Consider the following 18,833-nt stretch of genomic DNA (forward strand, 5'->3'; position numbering starts at 1 on the left):
CTACAATAAACCTATTTTAACTATACAGGTGCACATAAAATAAAAGTAAATGAACAAATGAAAAATTTATTCCTGGAATGCAAGGATGGTTCAAAACAACTGATCAATATAATACATCATAGTAACAGAATAAAGGAAAAAAATGCGATCATCTGAATCAATGCAGAAGCAGCATTTGACAAAATTCAACAACTATTCATGATAAAAGACACTCAACAACTAGGAACAGAAGGGAACTATCTCAACATAATAAAAGCCATTTATGAATAGCCCACAGCAAATGTCATACTCAATGGTAAGAGACTGAAAGCTTTTCCTCTAAGATCAGTGACAAGGCTAGGATGTTCACTTTCACCACTTCTATTAAACATTCTACTGGAAGTTCTATCCAGAGCAGTTAGGCAAGAAAATGAAAAAGAAGGCATCCAAGTCAGAAAGGAAGAAGTAAAAGTGTCTGTCTGCAGATAATATGGTCTTATATGTAGAAAACCCCAAATATTTCACAAAAAATCAGTTAGAGCTAATAAAATTTGGCAAAGTAACAGAATACAAAGTCAATACACAAAATCAGTTGCATTTCTATACCTAACAATTAACAATCTGAAAAGGATATCACAAAATAATTCCATTTCTAATAATCTCACAAAGGACAAACTACCTAGGACTTAACCAAGGAGATGAAAGACTTGTACCTGCTCAATGAAAACTACAAAATAAAATGGGGAAATTATTTAAATAGGCATTTTTCAAAAGAAGACATACAAATGGCAAGCAGGCATATGAAAAGATGCTCACATCATTGATCATCAGAAAAATGCAAATCCAAACTAGTGAGGCATCATCTGACCTCAGTTAAAATGGCTTATATCCAAAAGACAGGCAATAATAAATGCTACTGAGGATGTGGAGAAAAGGGAACCCTCATACCATGTTGGTGGGAATGTGAATTAGGACAACCACCTTGGAGAACAGTTTGGAGGTTCCTCAAAAAACTAAAAATAGAGCTACCATATGATCCAGCAATCTCACTGCTAGATATATGCTCCAAAGAAAGGAAATCAGTATATTGAATAGATATCTGCACACCTATGTTTGTTGCAGCACTGTTCACAATAACCAAAATTTGGGAGCAACCTACATGTCCATCAACAGATGAATGGATAAAGAAAATGTGGTGCTTATACACAATGGAGTACTATTCAGCCATAAAAAGAATGAGATCATCTCATTTTCAACAACATAGATGGAAATGAGGTCATTATACTAAGTGAAATAAGCCAGGCACAGAAAGATAAACATCACACACTCTCAAACCAAAACAATTGAAATCATGGAGATAGAGAGTAGAAGGATGGTAACCAGAGGCTGGGAAGGGTAGTGGTAGGCTGGGTGGGGGGAGGTGGGGGTGCTTAATAGGTACAAAATAGATAACTAGAAAGAATTAATAAGACCTAGTATTTGATAGCACAACAGGGTGACTATAATCAATAATAATTTAATTGTACATTTAAAAACTAAAATAGTGTAATTGGATTGTTTGTAACACAAGGATAAATACTTGAGGGGATGGCTACCTCATTTCCCATGATGTGATTATTACATATTGCATGCCTGTATGCCTTACAAGAAATATTAAAAGATGTTCTTTAGAGAGAAGGAAAATAATACAGGTAAACATCTCATGAACCTCATAAATATATACATCTATTATGTACCCACAAAAAATAAAATTTAAAATGTAAAAAGCTCTTCAAAACATTGTTGAAGGTAATTAAATAAGACATCAATAAATGTAAATACATCCCATGTTCATGGACTGGAAGACTTAATATTGTTAAGGTGTCAATACTGCCCAAAGTGATCTGTAGATTCAATGAAATCCTTATGACATTTCAATGTCAATGAAAATCCCAATGACATTTTTTTGCAGAAATAGAAAAACCAATCCTAAAATTCATATGGAATTGCAAAGGAATCCAAATAGCCAAAAACAGTCTTGAAAAAGAAGAACAAAGTTGAAAGACATTTCCTGATTTCAAAACTTACTACAAAGCTAGAGTAATCAAAACAGTGTGATACTGGCATAAAGACAAACTATATATAGAGTCCAGAAATAAAACCTCACATGTATGGTTAAATGATTTTTGACAAAGGTGCTAAGACTACTGAATGGGGAAAGGATAGTCTTTTCAACAAATAATGCTGGAATAACTGAATGTCCACATGTAAAAGAATGAATTTGGATCCTTACTTAACACCATATACAAAAACTAACTCAAAATGGATCAAAGACTTAAATGTAAGACCTAAAACTATACAACTCTTAGAAGAAAACATAGAACAAAGGCTTCATGAGATTGAATTTGGCAACAATCTCTTGGATATGACACCAAAGGCACAGACAAGAAAAGAAAGACAAATTGAGCTTAATAAAAAATTACCAAAAAACTGTATATCAAAAGACACTATTAACAGAGTAAAATGCAACCTATAGAATGCGAGAAGATATTTGCAAATCATACACCTGATAAGGAATTAATATCCAGAACATATTCCAGAACAATTAATATCCAGAACAATATCCAGAAAAGAAGGAAATTCGGACATATGTTACATCGTGAATAAACATTGAGGACAGTAGGCTAAGTGAAATAAGCCAGTCACAAAAAGACAAATACTGTATGATTCCACTTATATGAGGTACTTAGAGTAGCCAAAATCAGAGAATCAAAAAATAGAAAGGAGGTTTCCAGGGCCTAGAGGAAGGGGGGAAAGTGAAGTTATTCTTTATGGATATAGAGTTATAGAGTTTCAGTTTTACAAGATGAAAAGAGTTATGGAGATGAGTGGTGCTGATGGTTGCACAACATTATGAATGTATTTAGTACCACTGAACAGTACACTTAAAAATGGTTAAGATGGCAAATTTTATGTTATTTGTATTTTACCACAATAAAAAAGTAAATGAATGAAGACATGCCATCCTAATATCAATCAAAAGAAAGTGAAAGTAGCTGTATTCAGATGGAGAAGACTTTGGGTCAAGGAACTTTATCAGAGACAAAGAGAAGCATTACATAATGATGAAGGGGTCAATTATCCAAAAAGACGTAACAATCTTTAATGTGTATGTGCTCAAAAGAGAGCATCAGAATACATGAGGCAAGGAAAAATGGATGAATTTACTATTCTACTAGGAGACTTCAACACCCTTTTATCAGAAATGGACTGATCCAGTTGACAGAAAATCAGTAAGGTTATAGTTAAACTCAACAACAGCCTCAGTGAATCAGACGTAATGTACATCTATAGACTACTTCAGTCAACAGCAACAGAATACACATTCTTCTCAAGCTCACATGGAACATTCAGCAATATAGACCACATTCTGTCCATAAAGCACATCTTAACAAATTTAAAAGACTAGAAATCATATAATGTCTACTCTTAGACCACCGTGGAATTAAACTAGAAATCAATAACAGAATGAGATCAGGGAAATCCCCAAATACTTGAAGATTAGGCAATGCTCCTCCTCCCCCTCCTGCTCCTCCTCCTCCTCTTCCTCCTTCTCCTCCTCCTCCTTGTTTTGCTATGTGGACTCAAACTCCTCTGCTCAAGTGATCCTCCCACCTCAGCTTCCAGAGTAGCTGGGACTACAGCCACATACCACTGTGCCCAGCTTAAACAATGTACTTCCAAATAACACATGGGTCACAAAAGAAATTTAAAAATATTTTGAACTAAATAAAAATGAAAGCATAACTTATCAAAATTTGTGGGATGTAGTGAAAGCAGTGCATAGAGAGAAATTTATAGCACTGAATGCATAAAATAGAAAAGAAGAAAGATCTAAAATTAATAATCCAAGTTTCTACCTCAGGAAACTAGAAAAAGAAGAGCAAATTAAATCCAAAGTAAGCAGAGGAAAAGAAATAATAAAAATTAGATCTGAAATCAATGAAACTGAAAACAAGAAATCAATATAAAAATATCAATGAAACCAAAAGCTGGTCATGTGAAAAGACAGATAAAATTGATAGGCCTCTAATTTGGCCAATTAAGAATAAAAAAGAGAGGATACAAATTGTTAGTATCAGAAGTGAAAGAGGGGACATCTCTACAGATCTCGTGGACATTAAAAAGATTATCGAGGAATATTAATAACTCTATGTCCACTAATTTGCTAACCTAGATGAAATGAATGAAACACAATTTGTCAAAATTCATGCAAGAAGAAAGAGAACATTTGAACAGGACTCTCTCTATTAAAGAAATTGAATTAATAATAAACCTTACAAAGCAGAAATCACCAGGCCCAGATGGGTTCACTGGTAAATTCTACTAAACATTTAAGAAAGAAATAATACAAATTCTCTACACTCTATTGGAAAACAGAAGCAGAGGACTATTTCTTAACTCATTTTACAAGGCCAGCACTACTCTAATACCAAAATCAGACAAAGACATCACAAGAAATAAAACTACAGATCAATATCTCTCATTAATACAGATACAGAAATCCTCAACAAAAAGTTAGCAAATTGAATCCAATCATGTATAAAAAGAACTACATAACACAACCAAGTGGGATTTACCCCAGGTATGCAAGGCTGTTTCAAGATTTAAAAATCAATTAATGTAATCCATTATATCAGTATCAACAGGCCAAAGAAGAAAAATCACATGATCATATCAACAGATGCAGAAAATGCATTTGACAAAATCCAACACCCCATTAATGATAAAAACTCTCAGTAAAGTAAGAATAAAGGGGAATGTCCTCAACTTCATAAGAATATTAATAGCAGAATACACATTCTTCTCAAGCACATCTACAAAAACCCACAGTTGACATCATACATAATAGTGAGAAACTTGAAGCTTTCCCACTAAAATCAGGTACAAGGGAAGGATGTCCCCTCTCCCACTGCTTTTCAAGATCACACTGGAAGTCCTAGCAAATGCAATAAGGCAAGAAAAGGAAACGAAAGAAATTCAGATTGGGGAGGAAGAAATAAAACTGTCTTTGTTTACAGGTGACATGATCCCCTATGTAGAAAATCCACGTGAATCAGGAACAAAAGAGAAAACTACCTCTTGGCATTAATAAGCAATTATAGAAAGGTGGCAGAATATACGGTTAATATGCAAAAGTCAATTGCTTTTCTATATACCAGCAATGAACAAATGGAATTTGAAATAGAAACAAGATCACTTACATTAACATGCAAAGAAAAGAAACACTTGGGTTATAAATCTAACAAAATATGTACAAGATATATTTGAGGTAAAACTCACAACTCTAATGAAAGAAATCAAAGAATAACTAAATAAATGGAGAGACCTTCAATGTTCATGGATAAGAAAAGTCAATTATTTTCAAGATGTGAGTTTTTCCCAAATTGATTTATAGATACAGTGCAATCCCAATCAAAATCTCAGCAAGTTATTTTGTGGCTATTGACAAATTGATTCTAAAGTGTACATAGAGAGGCAAAAGACCAGAATAATCAACACAATATTGAAGGAGAAGAACAACATTGGGAGATCAACACGGCTCAACTTCAAGACTTGCTATAAAGCTATAGTAATCAAGACAGCATGATGTTGGCATATAGACAGACAAATAGATCATTGGAACAGAATGGAGAATTCAGATGCAGACCCACATAAATAAAGTCGACCGATCTTTGACAAGGGAGCAAAGGCAATACGGTGGAGAAAAGAAAGACTTTTCAACAAAAGGGCTAGAACAACTGGACATCCACATGCAAAAAAGAATCTAGACACAGACCTTACACCCTTCACAAAAATGAACTCAAAGTGTATCAGAGACCTCAATGTACAATGCAAAACTATAAATTGCCAAACTTGGGTTTGGCAATGGCTTTTTAGATATAATACCAAAGGCACGACCCATGAAAGAAATAATTGATAAGCTGGACTACATTAAAATTAAAATTTTCTGCTCTGCAAAAGACACAGTAAAGAGAATGAAAAATGAAGCCACTGACTGGGACATATCTTATGATGGACTACTTTTTTTTTTGAAACAGGGTCTTGCTCTGTTGCCCAGGCTGGTGTGCAGTGGTACAACCTTGGCTCACTGCAACCCCTGCCTCCTGGGTTCGAGTGATTCTCCTGTCTCAGCCTCCTGAGTAGCTGGGATAAGAGGCGTCCACCACCACATCCGGCTAATTTTTGTATTTTTAGTAGAGACAGGGTTTCCCCATCTTGGCCAGGCTGGTCTTGAACTCCTGACCTCGAGTGATCTGTCTGCCTCGGCCTCCCAAAGTGCTGGGATTACCGTGAGCCACCACGCCCGGCCTGATGATGGACTATTATCCAACATATGCAAACCACTTTTAAAATTCAACAATAAGAAAACAAACAACCTTATTAAAAAGTGGGCCAAAGACCTTAACAGAATATATACAGATGGAAAATAAGCATATGAAGATACTCCATATTATATGTCATTGAGGAAATGTAAATTAAAACAACAACAAGATACCACTACACATCTGTTAGAATGGCCAAAATTCAGAACACTAGCAACACCAAAGTCTGGCAAGGATGCGGGGCAACAGGAGCCCTCATTCACTGCTGGTGAGAATGCAAAATAGTACAGCCACTTTGAAAGAAAAGTTTTTCAATTGCTTATGAAATTAAACATACTCTTACACGCAAGTGCAATGGCACTCCTTCGTATTTACACAAAGGAGTTGAAAATATGTCCACACAAAAGCCTGCACATGGATGTGTATAGCAGCTTTATTCATGGTTGCCCAAACATGGGAGAAATCAAGATATCCTTCAGTAGATGAGTGGATACACAAACTGGCTACATCCAGACAATGGAATATTATTCAGCACGTAAAAGAAATGAGCTATCAAGCCATGAAAAGATAAGGATAAAACTTAAGTGCCTATCACTAAGCGAATGAAGCCAATGTGAAAAGGCTACAGACTATATGATTTCAACTACTGACATTCTGGAAAAGGCATAACTATGGAGATAGTAAAAAAAAGCAGTGGCTTCCAGCGGGTGGAGGAGGGAGAGATGCATTGGTAAAAACACAGAGGATTTTTAGGGCAGTCAAATGATTCTGTATGATACTATTATAGTGAATACATGTCATTATACATTAGTCAAAGCCCACAGAATGTACACCACCAAGAATGAACCTTAATGTAAACTATGGACTTTGGATGATGATGATGTATCAGTATAAGTCCATTCATTGTAACAAATGTACCTCTCTGGTGGCAGATGTTGATAATGGAGGAGGCTATGCATGTGTGTGGGCAGGGGGTATATGGGAAATCTCCGTGCCTTCCACTCAGTTTTTGCTGTGAACTTAAAACTGCTCCAAAAAATAAAATCTATTAAAAAGAAAAAAGGGTAATATTTTAACACGTGAACACACAACTGTGTCCCTTCCAGAGTACTCCAGCATGCTTACAGTTTGTAACACTTAAGTGTGTACGCGTGTGCATCCACACAGGTGTGCATCGACATGCCGAGCACGTGCATAAAACAAGACAAGAAGAATTCGTACCAAAAGTTAAGGGTGGTTTTCTCTGAGTGGTAGGCTCATGGGTAAATTTAATTTCCTTCTTTGTGTTTTTCTGTATTTTTAAAAAGTTCTGCAGTGAACATGTGTTACATTTCTCATCAGAAAAGCCATCGTGATTGTGTGTATGTGTTTAAAGGGAAATAAATGATCAAAATACCATATGACCCAGTAATTCCATTTCTAGGAATATAAATTTAGAGAAAGTTGGAGATATATAAACACATTTATGGATAAGGTTTTTTACATAATATTGAAAAAAATAGAAACAGCTTAATGTCCAAAAGCAAGAGATTACTCAATATATTAAAACCCACCCATATGGCAGAACAACTTGTAGGCATTATCAATCAAAGCATAGGATGATACGGTACAGTGAATGAAATTGGATTCAAAATGTGGGAAGAATTTTACTCACATGATGCAAAGTGGGTACAGATGGGGCAGAAGAGGCCATGGGTTTTGCTGGGGCCAGATGAAGGGCACATGAGGATTCATTACGCTACTCTCTCTGTGTGTGTATGGCAGACATTCTCCATAATAAAATATTCCTTAAAATCATGATATGAATAAGACAAAAATAACAAATCATGTTGTTGCAATCAGAAAAGAGACACAATTAATACTACTTGCAGATGCTTATTATGGTTCTCTTAAAAACACAAGGGAATCAGGTGAAAACCTAGCAGAAAGTAAACAGAGAGCTCATCAAGAGGCCAGCATACAAATATAGAAAAACATATAGCCTCCCCACATAGCAGCAATAAACAGCAAGGAATTATAGGGGAAAAAAAGAGACCCTACTCACAAAAACAACAACAAAAAAAGAAAATACCTTACCATAAATGTGCAATTCCTATATCAAGAAAACTACAAAACTTTACTAGAGGACATAAAAGAAGTCTTGAATAAATGGAGAGACATAACTTACTCCTTGGAAGGGATGGCTCAATATTGTAAAGATGTCATTTCTCCTCAGATTAATTTATAAATTTAATGCAATTCCAATTAAAATCAAAAAGGACACACCAGAAGGACACACACTAAAATGTTAACAGAAGTTCTTTCTAGAAAGTAAAAAGATAATGGATTGCTCTTGCTTGGTGCTTTTTTTTTTGTTTTCCAAGCCCTCTGCATTGAGATAGAGCTTTGGTAATAAGAAAAAAAAAACAAAGCTTTAGCGAAATGTTCTTAAAGAATACTTAATGGCATAGAAAATTTTCATCCTCTCCCTGCTCCCCAATGCTACAAAATAATATTACAGTATGATAATTATTTATCAAACAAAAAGCATATTTACAGAAGAAAGACTGGAAGGATTTGTACCAAAATGTTACCAGTGAATATCTCTGGATAGAAGTTTATGGATAATTTTTATCTTGTTCTTTGTGTTTTCTTGATTTTTCCAAAATTATTTACAACAAGTATGTATTATTACTTCAAAATGTGAAAACAAACACACAAAAAACAAAAAAAGCCTGGAAAGAGGTCTGGTTATTACAGATCTGAAGAAAGATACCTCTACCCATCCCAAATGGGGATAAAAAGTCAGGGGACAAAGCCATCTCCATAGGGCTTCACATCCTCTTCCTGGCCTCTCAGACCTTGGCAGGTGGGGAGGAGGGGAAAGAGAGGGGCCATCATCTCAACAAGGATGGTGACATGTCTCAGCCATTAAGACCTAAGTCCAAGGGATGGAGCCTCAGTCTTATCCTATATAAAACAGCTCCATTAATACCCACTAATCTCTGCCCTGTGCCACCCTGTCACTGGGCCCTGGGATACCAAAAGAAGTCAGCACCAGGCTCCTGCTTTCAAGGAATGCTGAACCCCGCAGGGCAGCCGAGAAGAACAGACAACTAGCACATGTGTGGTGCTCCACTCAGGTGCAATACCAGGGAGGTTCCCAATTCAGGTTTCAGTGACAGCCATGCTTCAGTCCCAAACCTAGCTCTATCCACTGGAGGAAGTTACTCAGACTCTCTGAGACTCAGTTTCTCCGAGACTCAGTTTCTCCACCTGCAAGATGGGGTACACATCTCAGAGGGCTGATTATTGTGAGGAAGACATAAAACAATGGAGCTACTGCATGGCACATGGCAAGGACTTAATACACAGTAGCTATCAAAGAAAGAGTGAAACAATGAGTGCTACTATACTATTTAGAAAACAGCAAATAAAAGCTACCATGCAATTTAGAAAAACAAAGTGAAGTGTGAGCTTCCACATTTTCTAGGGCAGGGTTGACAAACTTTGTCTGCAAAGGATCGGAGGGTAAATGTTTTAGATGATAAGTATTTTTGGCTTTGTGGACCAGATGGTTGTTGTTGCAAGGACTCACTTCTGCCACTGTAGCACGCTGGCAGCCGCAGACAATGTGTCACAGTAGGCACAGTTGTGTTTCAATAAAACTTTATTTGCAAAAATACAGAATGAAGAGATGTTTCATGGGTACAAATATATAGCTTGGTAGAAGAAATAAGACCTAGTGTTTGACAGATCAGTGGGGTGACTATTAATGTAAGTTTACAATAACTTATTGTTTATTTCAAAATAGCTAGAGGAGAATAATTTGAAGGTTTTCAGCACAAAGAAAAGATAACTATGTAAGATGATGAATATCCTAAGTATGCTGACTTGATCTTTACAAATTATATGAATGTATTACTTTATCATATGTACCCCAAAACTCTGTACATCTATTATGTATCAATAAAAACATAAAATTAATTCAAAAAACAGGTGGTGAGTGGCTGGATTTGGCTATTGGGCTGTAGTCTCTACTTGTTCTGGGGGTGGGCAGCGTTTATTTCAGAGGTGAGTGAGTGTTTCCTTAGGAAAAGCACCTCAGGGCCTGGGTAAAGAATTAAGACTATGACGGAACAAAATCATGATGCAAAAGAAACAAAGACAGGATGCTGGAGTTTTGAGTGGAGAAGATGTGAGACAAGGAGGAAGGCCTAAGAGAAAGGGAACAGAGATGAAGTGGACCCCAAAGGACAGAACCCAGGCCCAAAGGTGGGCGAGTCAAGTAAGAAATTCACCACAGCAGGAGGGGGCCATGCATTTTTCATACAGTGATGTCCGATGCTGGGTTTTAAGTTGAGCCTCCCTTCCTTCCAGGAGGCCCATCGTTAGAAAAGTCAGCTACAGAATACTGACACCAGCTCCTGCTGTTTGGAGGAAGGCGACAGAAGATGGGCATGGTCCAAAACAGAGTGAGTCAGGGCAGAGAAAGGACAAGAGGCGAGATGAGAGGAGACAGAAGACTCAGCAGAAGACACTGGAGCATGAGGTCATCAGGAGAAACAGGAAGCCCTAGAGCATCCTCAGAGACATGGTGGGTGAGAGGCTGCCCCTCCACCCCCAAACTCAGTACAAGGGTGGGAGGTGTTCTAATGAGTGTGTAAGGGCTAGGTGGCTGCAAAGGCTGAATATCATGGGACATCCAAGCAGCAAATATTGAGGGGCACCACAGAGGTTCAGAGAGTGGGTTCTAGGCACAGGCAGACCTCGATTTGAATTTTGGTTCCACTCACAGGCTACCCCTTTCTCTAGGGAATTGTTCCCAGTGAGAGAGGCCCCCTTGCCCAGGAGGAGGGGTCACTCACCTGGGCCCCTGGAAGCAGCCTGCCATCAATAACCAACTAATAATGGGGCTCAAAAGACTGGGCGGTCCCTTGCTTCAGGGTGGGGACAATCTGCAGTATGACATATTCTTTGGAGCCCCTCCCCACACTCCCCACCTTGCATCAGGCAAAGGCTAGATCTTGGCAGAGGCACATCTCTGCCCAACTCCGTCCTCTTCCCAACCCTGCCTTATTCATTCCCCTACAGGGTTTTCCTGAAGAGCACTCTTCCCCTCTATAAACCCCATGCATCCGAATCCCTGCCTCAGGCTCTGCTTCCAGGGGACCTGACCTAAGACAGGGGTGACATTACTGGGGGGCAGTGTCAACTGCACTACTTTAGTGTTGCTGGAGATGGGGAAGGGGACGCTGGACCTCATTAACTGCTAAATGGCCAAGGTTCTCCACTACCCTCTCCCTCCTGGGTCCTCCTGCTCCCTCTCCCTTCTAGAGAGCCTGTAGCTTTGGGAGCTCAGGCATCTGATTGTCCTGGGTTCTGATCCAAGCTCCACCCATGCAAGAAGGGCTGCTTTGGGTCTCAGCTTCTGGAGAGAGTTCCCTGCCCCGCTGGAGGCTGCCCCCCTTTCCACTGGCTCCTCTCCATTCTCTGCCTTCCCATACATTCCTCATGATCGTTATTTAAAGAGGCTAATAAGTAGGTTGGCACCATTGATTAACGCATAATCTTAATCATGATTGCATAGTGTAATTGGCATTAATTTGAAGAGCCAGTTCATTATGAAAATAATTGTCACTGCTTTCTGCTTTAATAAAATGGAGCAGAGACACTGAGGCGGCTAAGAAATGGGATAGGGTGTGTGTGTGTGTGTGTGTGTGTGTGTGTAGGGAGGGGTGTGTAAGATGAGTCCCAGAAGACGTGAGCAGGGGTGGAACAGGGTGCAGCTGGAATATTTTCTTCAAACAAAACCTTGTGTGGAAGCCCAACGGGTAAAACAAATAACAACAACCACAGCAGTAATAACAACTGACTGTGTTCCAGGGATGATGCTGCATGCCTTCCACTCACTACATTTAACACTCATGAGAACCTCTACAACCCCATTAGAGAGGAAGTAACATTGCCTCAATTTACACAGGAGAAAATGGAAGTCCAGGGAAGTCAAGGATGTTGTTAAAACTACAAAGTGGCAAAATTCTCTTTGCAACCAAAGCCAGTGACGTGCTGCAGCCGGCTAGTACCAGCTTTCAGGAGCCAATTGTTAAATTTTCAGGAATTCTGAAAACCAGTTATTAAACCATTGGCAGCCTGAAATCGGCCATAGTGAGAGTATTTACACCACAGAAATAAGCAGATACTACAAATCAGGGCTTTTTTTTTTTTTTTCCTTCCTGAGATGGAGTCTTGCTGTGTCACCCAGGCTGGAGTGCAGTGGCACAATCTCGGTTCACTGCAACCTCCACCTCCTGGGTTCAAGCAATTCTCCTGCCTCAGCCTCCTGAATAGCTGGGACTACAGGTGCACGCCACCATGCCTGGCTAATTTTTTCGTATTTTTGGTAGAGACGGGGTTTCACCACGTTGACCAGGCTGATTTCGAACTCTTGACCTCAAGTGATCTGCCTGCCTCGGCCTCCCAAAGTGCTAGGATGACAGGTGTGAGCCACTGCGCCCGGCCTTTTTTTCTTTTTTATCGGCATGCCCCTGCCCAAACCCATTTGCATCACTGGGCTCTGAAAGACTTGATGTCACAGCTTCTGAGAAGGCTCTGTAGCTTCCTGGGCTCTGAGTGTGGCAAGAAAACCACTGCTCAAATCTAACCCCTAACTGAGAGCCAGAGTTGGGGAGGAGGGGTAGAACTGGCTGTGTCAACTGCAACCAACTTCTTTCTTCATCTTTCTACTATGATATGTTGTTATATGTTTCGGGAAACATACTGAATACCCTAAGCATTAGTGCCTATATTTTTTAAATTGCTTTTTTTACCTCTAGAAACATGCCCAATGGTGGAATTCCTCTGCCTCCCAGGTGAGGATGCTATGATGGCCTGTGTCAAGCTGAATGTGACCTCCAAAACCAGGGGGAAGCTCCTTGCTTAAGCTTGGCCCTCTGACCTCATGACTGTTTAGGTGTCCTCTGGAACCCGTTGAGGTTTTTTCCTTTCTCTTCAATAACTCTGTGCTCTTAAATTTAGCCAAGCAGCCCAGCTGGCCTGGCCCAGAGTGCAGTGAGCCTGGGAGACTCAGGCAGGACTTAAGGCCTGCTGCCATTATGAAGAGTCCCAGAAGACATTCACGCTCCCAGCACCAGGCCCAGGCTCCATTTGTCCTCAGGGGCCTGAGCCCACTCTTTCTTTTCTAGACTGCTTTGTACTTTTTCTGAAGTTTCCAAGGTGTTGTGGAGATTAATTGAGACGTGGATCAGCGAGATTGTTGCTAACAGCCTCTTCTCAGGGCCCGCCTCCCTGTCTGTTCTGATCAGGGTTCTCTTTGCTTCCTGCCAGGGCCCCCGCAGCTCAGTGCAGCTGTGGGCTGGAAGATCCAGGCTCTGCTCTCTGCTGCGCCTTAGCCAGACCCCTGGGGGAACTGGTGGTGTCTCTGAACCTGCTTCTCAGGCACCTCTGTGCCCTCTCTCAGCAGCAGTGGTGGGGGGGCGGGGACAGGGACAAGTCAGTTGCTTCCCCTGCTGGACACAGCATGTGGTTTACAGAGGTGGAGCAGCACCCAGTGAAACGGTCCAGGGATGGGCTTTCTAATGTCCTGGGAGAGGAAAGGGAGACGAGGGATGTGTGTCCCCCTTCTTGTTCATTCAGTTCTTCATTCATTCATATACTCATTAACTCATTCATTCCATAAGCAGGTAATTGGCTACAATCTGGAACAAGGCACTATGCTGGGCACTAGGTGAGTCAGTGAGAGATTAGTTTCAGCCCCGTTCTTCAGGAACTCCTAGCTCAGAACAGGAGGTGAGTGGGGGGGCATAACTCAAAACGCTGTCAAGGTGAGAACGCTCCATGTGATAACCACGGACTAAACACTGGGGAGACTCAGAGGAGAGGGCATCTTGCGGACGTCTTCATGGGGGAGGCAGCACCTGACCTGCTCGGAGCTGAGCTGTGGAAGGAACACAGCAACCAGCAGGGGCACTGGCCTTGGATAGATTATCACAGTGAGGAGGACCTGTACAGACCCACTGGGGAGAGAGGGAGGGAGGGGGTGGCCGGAGGGGAGCTGCGTGGTTGGCTTTTCTAGGATTGGTCAATAATAAACTGAGGGAGGGAGGTGGGGGTCTGGGAGAGGGTGCATCCAACATGACCCCAGTGTTTGAATGAGGATGAGGTTCAGCTAAGCATGTGGGCTCTGCAGCCAGAAGGCACCACTTCCCAGCTATGTCACCTTGGGCAAGTCCCTTTACTGCTCTGTGTCTCTGTTTCATCATCTGAAACAGAGATATTAATAGTGTTTACAACATAGGGGTATTTTGAGGCTTAAATGGCATAAATCACCTAAAGCACATTGTATGCCTTTGATAAGAATAAGAAATTATTATGAGGTGATAGGAAGGCTGGAGGGCCTTCAACGGAGCTGTAGGCAGGCATCCAGAGAAGGGGCAGATCTGAGCAGAGGATGTGCACTTCCCTGGGGTCCCAGGGGGACTCCTGATTGAGTTCCGGGGCCTGGTGGCAGTTGTTTTAATTGATCTAGTGCTATGAGGAGCTTTGTCTGTACAACTCAGGGACATGCAAGTCAAATATTGCAGAATCGACCGTGTTGGGAGGATGGCTGGAGGCTCTTGTGCTGCCCAGAGACCCTGATGAGGGATGGGCTGTCATCAGGCAGGAGGAGCAGGAGTACAATGTGGGCAGAGGACTGAGCGGGGAGCTGTGGAGGGGCCCTGTGAGCAGTGCCTGTCCTTGCTGGAGGGGACAAAGGAATGGAGATCTAGAGCCACCATGCGGGCCTCCCCCAGACACTGGCGGGGCTGTCCCACCTCCGCGGTCAGTCAGCAGAGCAATTCCACAGCCCCCTCTTCACGCACACCCACTGGCAGCAGAAAGGACAACTCCCTTAGCCTGGTGTTTGGGGCCCTTCCCCATCCAGCCCAGCCTCTCTTCAGCGTCCACTCTTCCAGGCAGGGTGTCCTCACCCCATGCTGTTTCTCACCACTCCCTTCACGCACACCTTCCTCTGCGTCTCGCTTTTCCTTCTTTCTCTGGGTTTCGTCCTGGGTCACGCTTTTCTCTTCTGAGCCTTGTGCAACAGACATGATCCTCGTCCCCTGATCCCAACCCCAGAGGCCACTGCAGACACTTCCTCTGCATGCCCTCAGCTTCCACGATCTCTGATACTCTCTGGCAAAGGCGCGGATTTGGCCAGCACATGGGACAGGCTAGGGAGGCCTGGGAGCTGGTGGATAAACGTCCAGCTTCCTCGCCCCTTGCAGGCACCGTTGGGATGCAGATTCTATGCAGTTTCTCAATAGGCCCCAGCAGAACAGAACCCCCCTCCTCCCCCCTCTGCTGCCCACAGTGTAACCCACCTGCCTGCACACCCTTGCTTGGCTCCCCTGCTTACCGGTCTCTCTTCCCTGCTCCCTCATGGTCCTGATTCCTGGAGCCGCCTCCCAGATAAACTATTTACACCCTAGCCCTCCTCACAGGGCTTGCATTTGGGGGTCCTTGACTAAGAGCTTTCCTGAGCTCCCTATGCGTCCTCCTCCGTATCCTCACACATGGTGGGGGGCTGCGTTGTGCTGTGCTGAGTCCTGGGCCCCACTCTCCCCCTTCTCCATTAGGCTGAGGTCATCTAGAGGGTGAGGACACGCCTTTGTCATCCTGGCATCTCCTTCCCTCCCCCAGTGCCTGACACACTATCTAGCACAGATAGGATGTCAACATGTTTGTTAAATATATGTATATGTATGTGTGCCTAAAACACATATGCTGCTTGTTTTAAGAAGCTAATTTGAGTTCAGGACTTTGATATTTACGTGACAAATCAAAGAACACACAAATATCTCTCAGACCATCTGTAATGATTATGCACAGCCAGGAGGACACTAGCTCCTGCTGTTCTCAAGCCCTCCGCTACCCCAGCTCCAGCAGGGATCCGCTATTAGTAGATAGGGAGACTGAGGCTGAGGGACCTTCAGTAGACACCCTGTCCCTTACAAGAGTGGATAGGGGCCATGTGCCTGGCATGAGTAGGCAGCTGCACAGAGAGGGCCTGGCTCTCCCTGGATGGGGGCGTGTCCCACCACCATCCCAACTGGGCTCATCTCCAAACCCGGGCACCTGCTCCATAGCAATGCCAGGATCAGGGAGAGAACCCTGCCACCAGCAGCCCCTCTGTGCCAGCCTGCCCACCCACAGACCTGCCCTGAGAAAGCCAGAAGGCCCAATCTAAGGTCACTCCAGAAATGAGAGTGGGCAGAGGCGAGGGTCAGGGGAGCAAGACCGGGAAAATTAGTGGAGGAGAACAGAAGCCCCCTGTTCTGCGTTTATTACTTCCATCCTCGTCTGTTGTAAATATCAATTGCTATGCAGGTTAAATACTTATCCAGATGCCTTTTAGCTTAAAAGCAAGCTAATTGATCTCTGGAGATCCTGAATGAACAGTGAAGAAATTGCACTAATTATAGAATCAACTTCCACTCTCAATTTTGTTTTGTTTTGTTTCTTCTCTAACAATACTGCTGGAGTGACAGAAAGGGGCCTGGTGGAGCAGACACACAAAGCACACATCATTCTCATCAGGTGGCAACACCACGCCCCACAGCCCCACCCCCAATCACAGCAGGGCCTTTGGCTTTCTGGGAGGAGCTCTCCCAGGCAAACCTCTCCCAGAGGCATGACTCTAAGATGCTGAAAATATCACTGCCGTCCACCATCGGCCAGAATCCACTGAAGTCACCTGCCTTCAGCCCACCCATCCTGCAGGTTCTACCTTCCTCTCCCAAATCCCCACAACTCTCCCAAAACCAACACAAATGCTGCCAAAGCTACTCCTGCTCACATATTCTGACCTCCTCTGGGGTCTCAGCTCCTGACTTGTCACCGGCCACCTGGAATTAAAGGCACAGCACAGCTTTGTTCTTGGCACAGCTCTGGTCCCTGTCTCTAGCTCCTTGTTTACCAGGGAGGTCCCACACTGCAGCCCCACGGTGCCGGGGCAGGTGTGGGAGCCTCAGCTTTCTCATCTAGCAACAGTAGAATGGGGCTGTATCCTTTCTCCCTCCCGCTTGGGAAGATGTGTCCTCTTGCTTCCTCTTCTCACCTCAGCTCAGCTTTTGACTCCACTTACTATGCTGCCTGGGGTAGAATGGAGAATGGACACCTCTGGCTTGGCTGGAGGGAAAATTGTGTCATTGCTATTTCAGTGGCCCCAGGAAACTGCAGTCAATGTGCAGAGAAGCTAAAGTCTTCTTTAAGTTGAGAAAACTAGAAGTTGAACAAGGTTGAGCAGGTTTCTTTTCTGCAGGACTTCTCTGGGCATTTGCTCTGCTCACATGCAGAGCCTCTGAGAGGTGGGTAGCAACATTTCCCAAACTTACTTGACAACCGGGGAAACCTTTTCTGGCAGAGCATCTTACTGGAAACACGCTTCTGGAAATCGCTGTGTTACAGTGACTTGGGCAAAAGTTATTTATCCTGCCTCTGAGGTGTGAGCTATTTGAGGTCCAGGGCTAGATCCTCCACATCTCAGTCAGCCCCACACACTGGGCTCCCCAGCCCTGTGCACTAGAGACACACAAGAAGAATAAGAAAGTACAACGGTGAAACTATTTGATCTACTCAGCCCAACGGGCCCCACCAAATGATGGATTTTGCTTTTTAAAGATTGATTCTGAGGCATCAGTGACCGGTTGTTTTAACACAGCCTTGGAGGTGTGATTACTCCACTAGACTCTCATTTATGCATGTGTATGCACCTGGGCAGGTGTGAGCACACATCTCACCTGGGCAGGGCACAACAGGAGGGAAGGCTGGGGAACCAATTCATCAGCCTGGTGCTTTGTGCCTCTCCCTGAGGTAGTTGTTTCAAATAAGGGATTCTGACTTAATTATTATCATTAGCACATGAGGCTGCTTGGATCTTCATAAGTTCGTGCAAAGGAATTCTGAGCGACCTTGTCCTTTATCAACACCCCAGAAAAAGATGTTCCTCCATTCAGCCCTTCCTTCACTCAACAAACACTCAGGGAGCACCCACCATGTGTCAAGTACTGGGCATACAGCAGATAAACAGTAGGGGAGACCTCTGCCACTGTGACACCTTGCTTGCTTTCTCAAAGTTCTTCATGCAGCTTAATATCTATTTGCTGTCTTAAATATCTATTTGCTGTCTAGTGTACAGTCCACCTCTTCTCCCCACCCTCAGCACTTAGAAGTTCCTTGGGCCTGCAGATCTTATCAGCTTGTTCATCTCTTTCTCTCCAGTGCCTAGAACAAGACCTGGCACATAATTGGCATTCAATAAACATTTCTCAAATATAAATAAATATGCACAAACATACAAGTATAAACAAGCATGAAATGGCTAAACAGCAAAACTCCGGGGTGGGAACAAGTGGAAAGTGGTTTTTAACCAAAGCTGCTGCCTAGGGGAGGGATATGGTTTGGATGTGTCCCCACCCAAATCTCATCTTGAATCCCCATGTGATGTGG

The 18,833-nt window shown here is 42.7% G+C and overlaps 1 protein-coding gene across 1 annotated transcript in view, besides 1 other annotated feature; it reads right to left on the bottom strand.

Annotated features, from left to right (window-relative positions):
- Positions 1 to 18,833, bottom strand: part of GRIK3 (glutamate ionotropic receptor kainate type subunit 3) — a 238,989-nt gene that overhangs the window by 101,229 nt on the left and 118,927 nt on the right. The gene's annotated exons all lie outside the window — the stretch shown is intronic.
- Positions 14,701 to 14,750: an enhancer, noted in NCBI's record as "active region_762". NCBI's record gives its function as "activates an Ori minimal core promoter by ATAC-STARR-seq in GM12878 lymphoblastoid cells {active_cell/tissue: GM12878}" and the evidence as "EXISTENCE:reporter gene assay evidence [ECO:0000049][PMID:35858748]".

This window comes from Homo sapiens, chromosome 1, assembly GCF_000001405.40.
Source record: "Homo sapiens chromosome 1, GRCh38.p14 Primary Assembly".
NCBI lineage: Eukaryota > Metazoa > Chordata > Mammalia > Primates > Hominidae > Homo > Homo sapiens.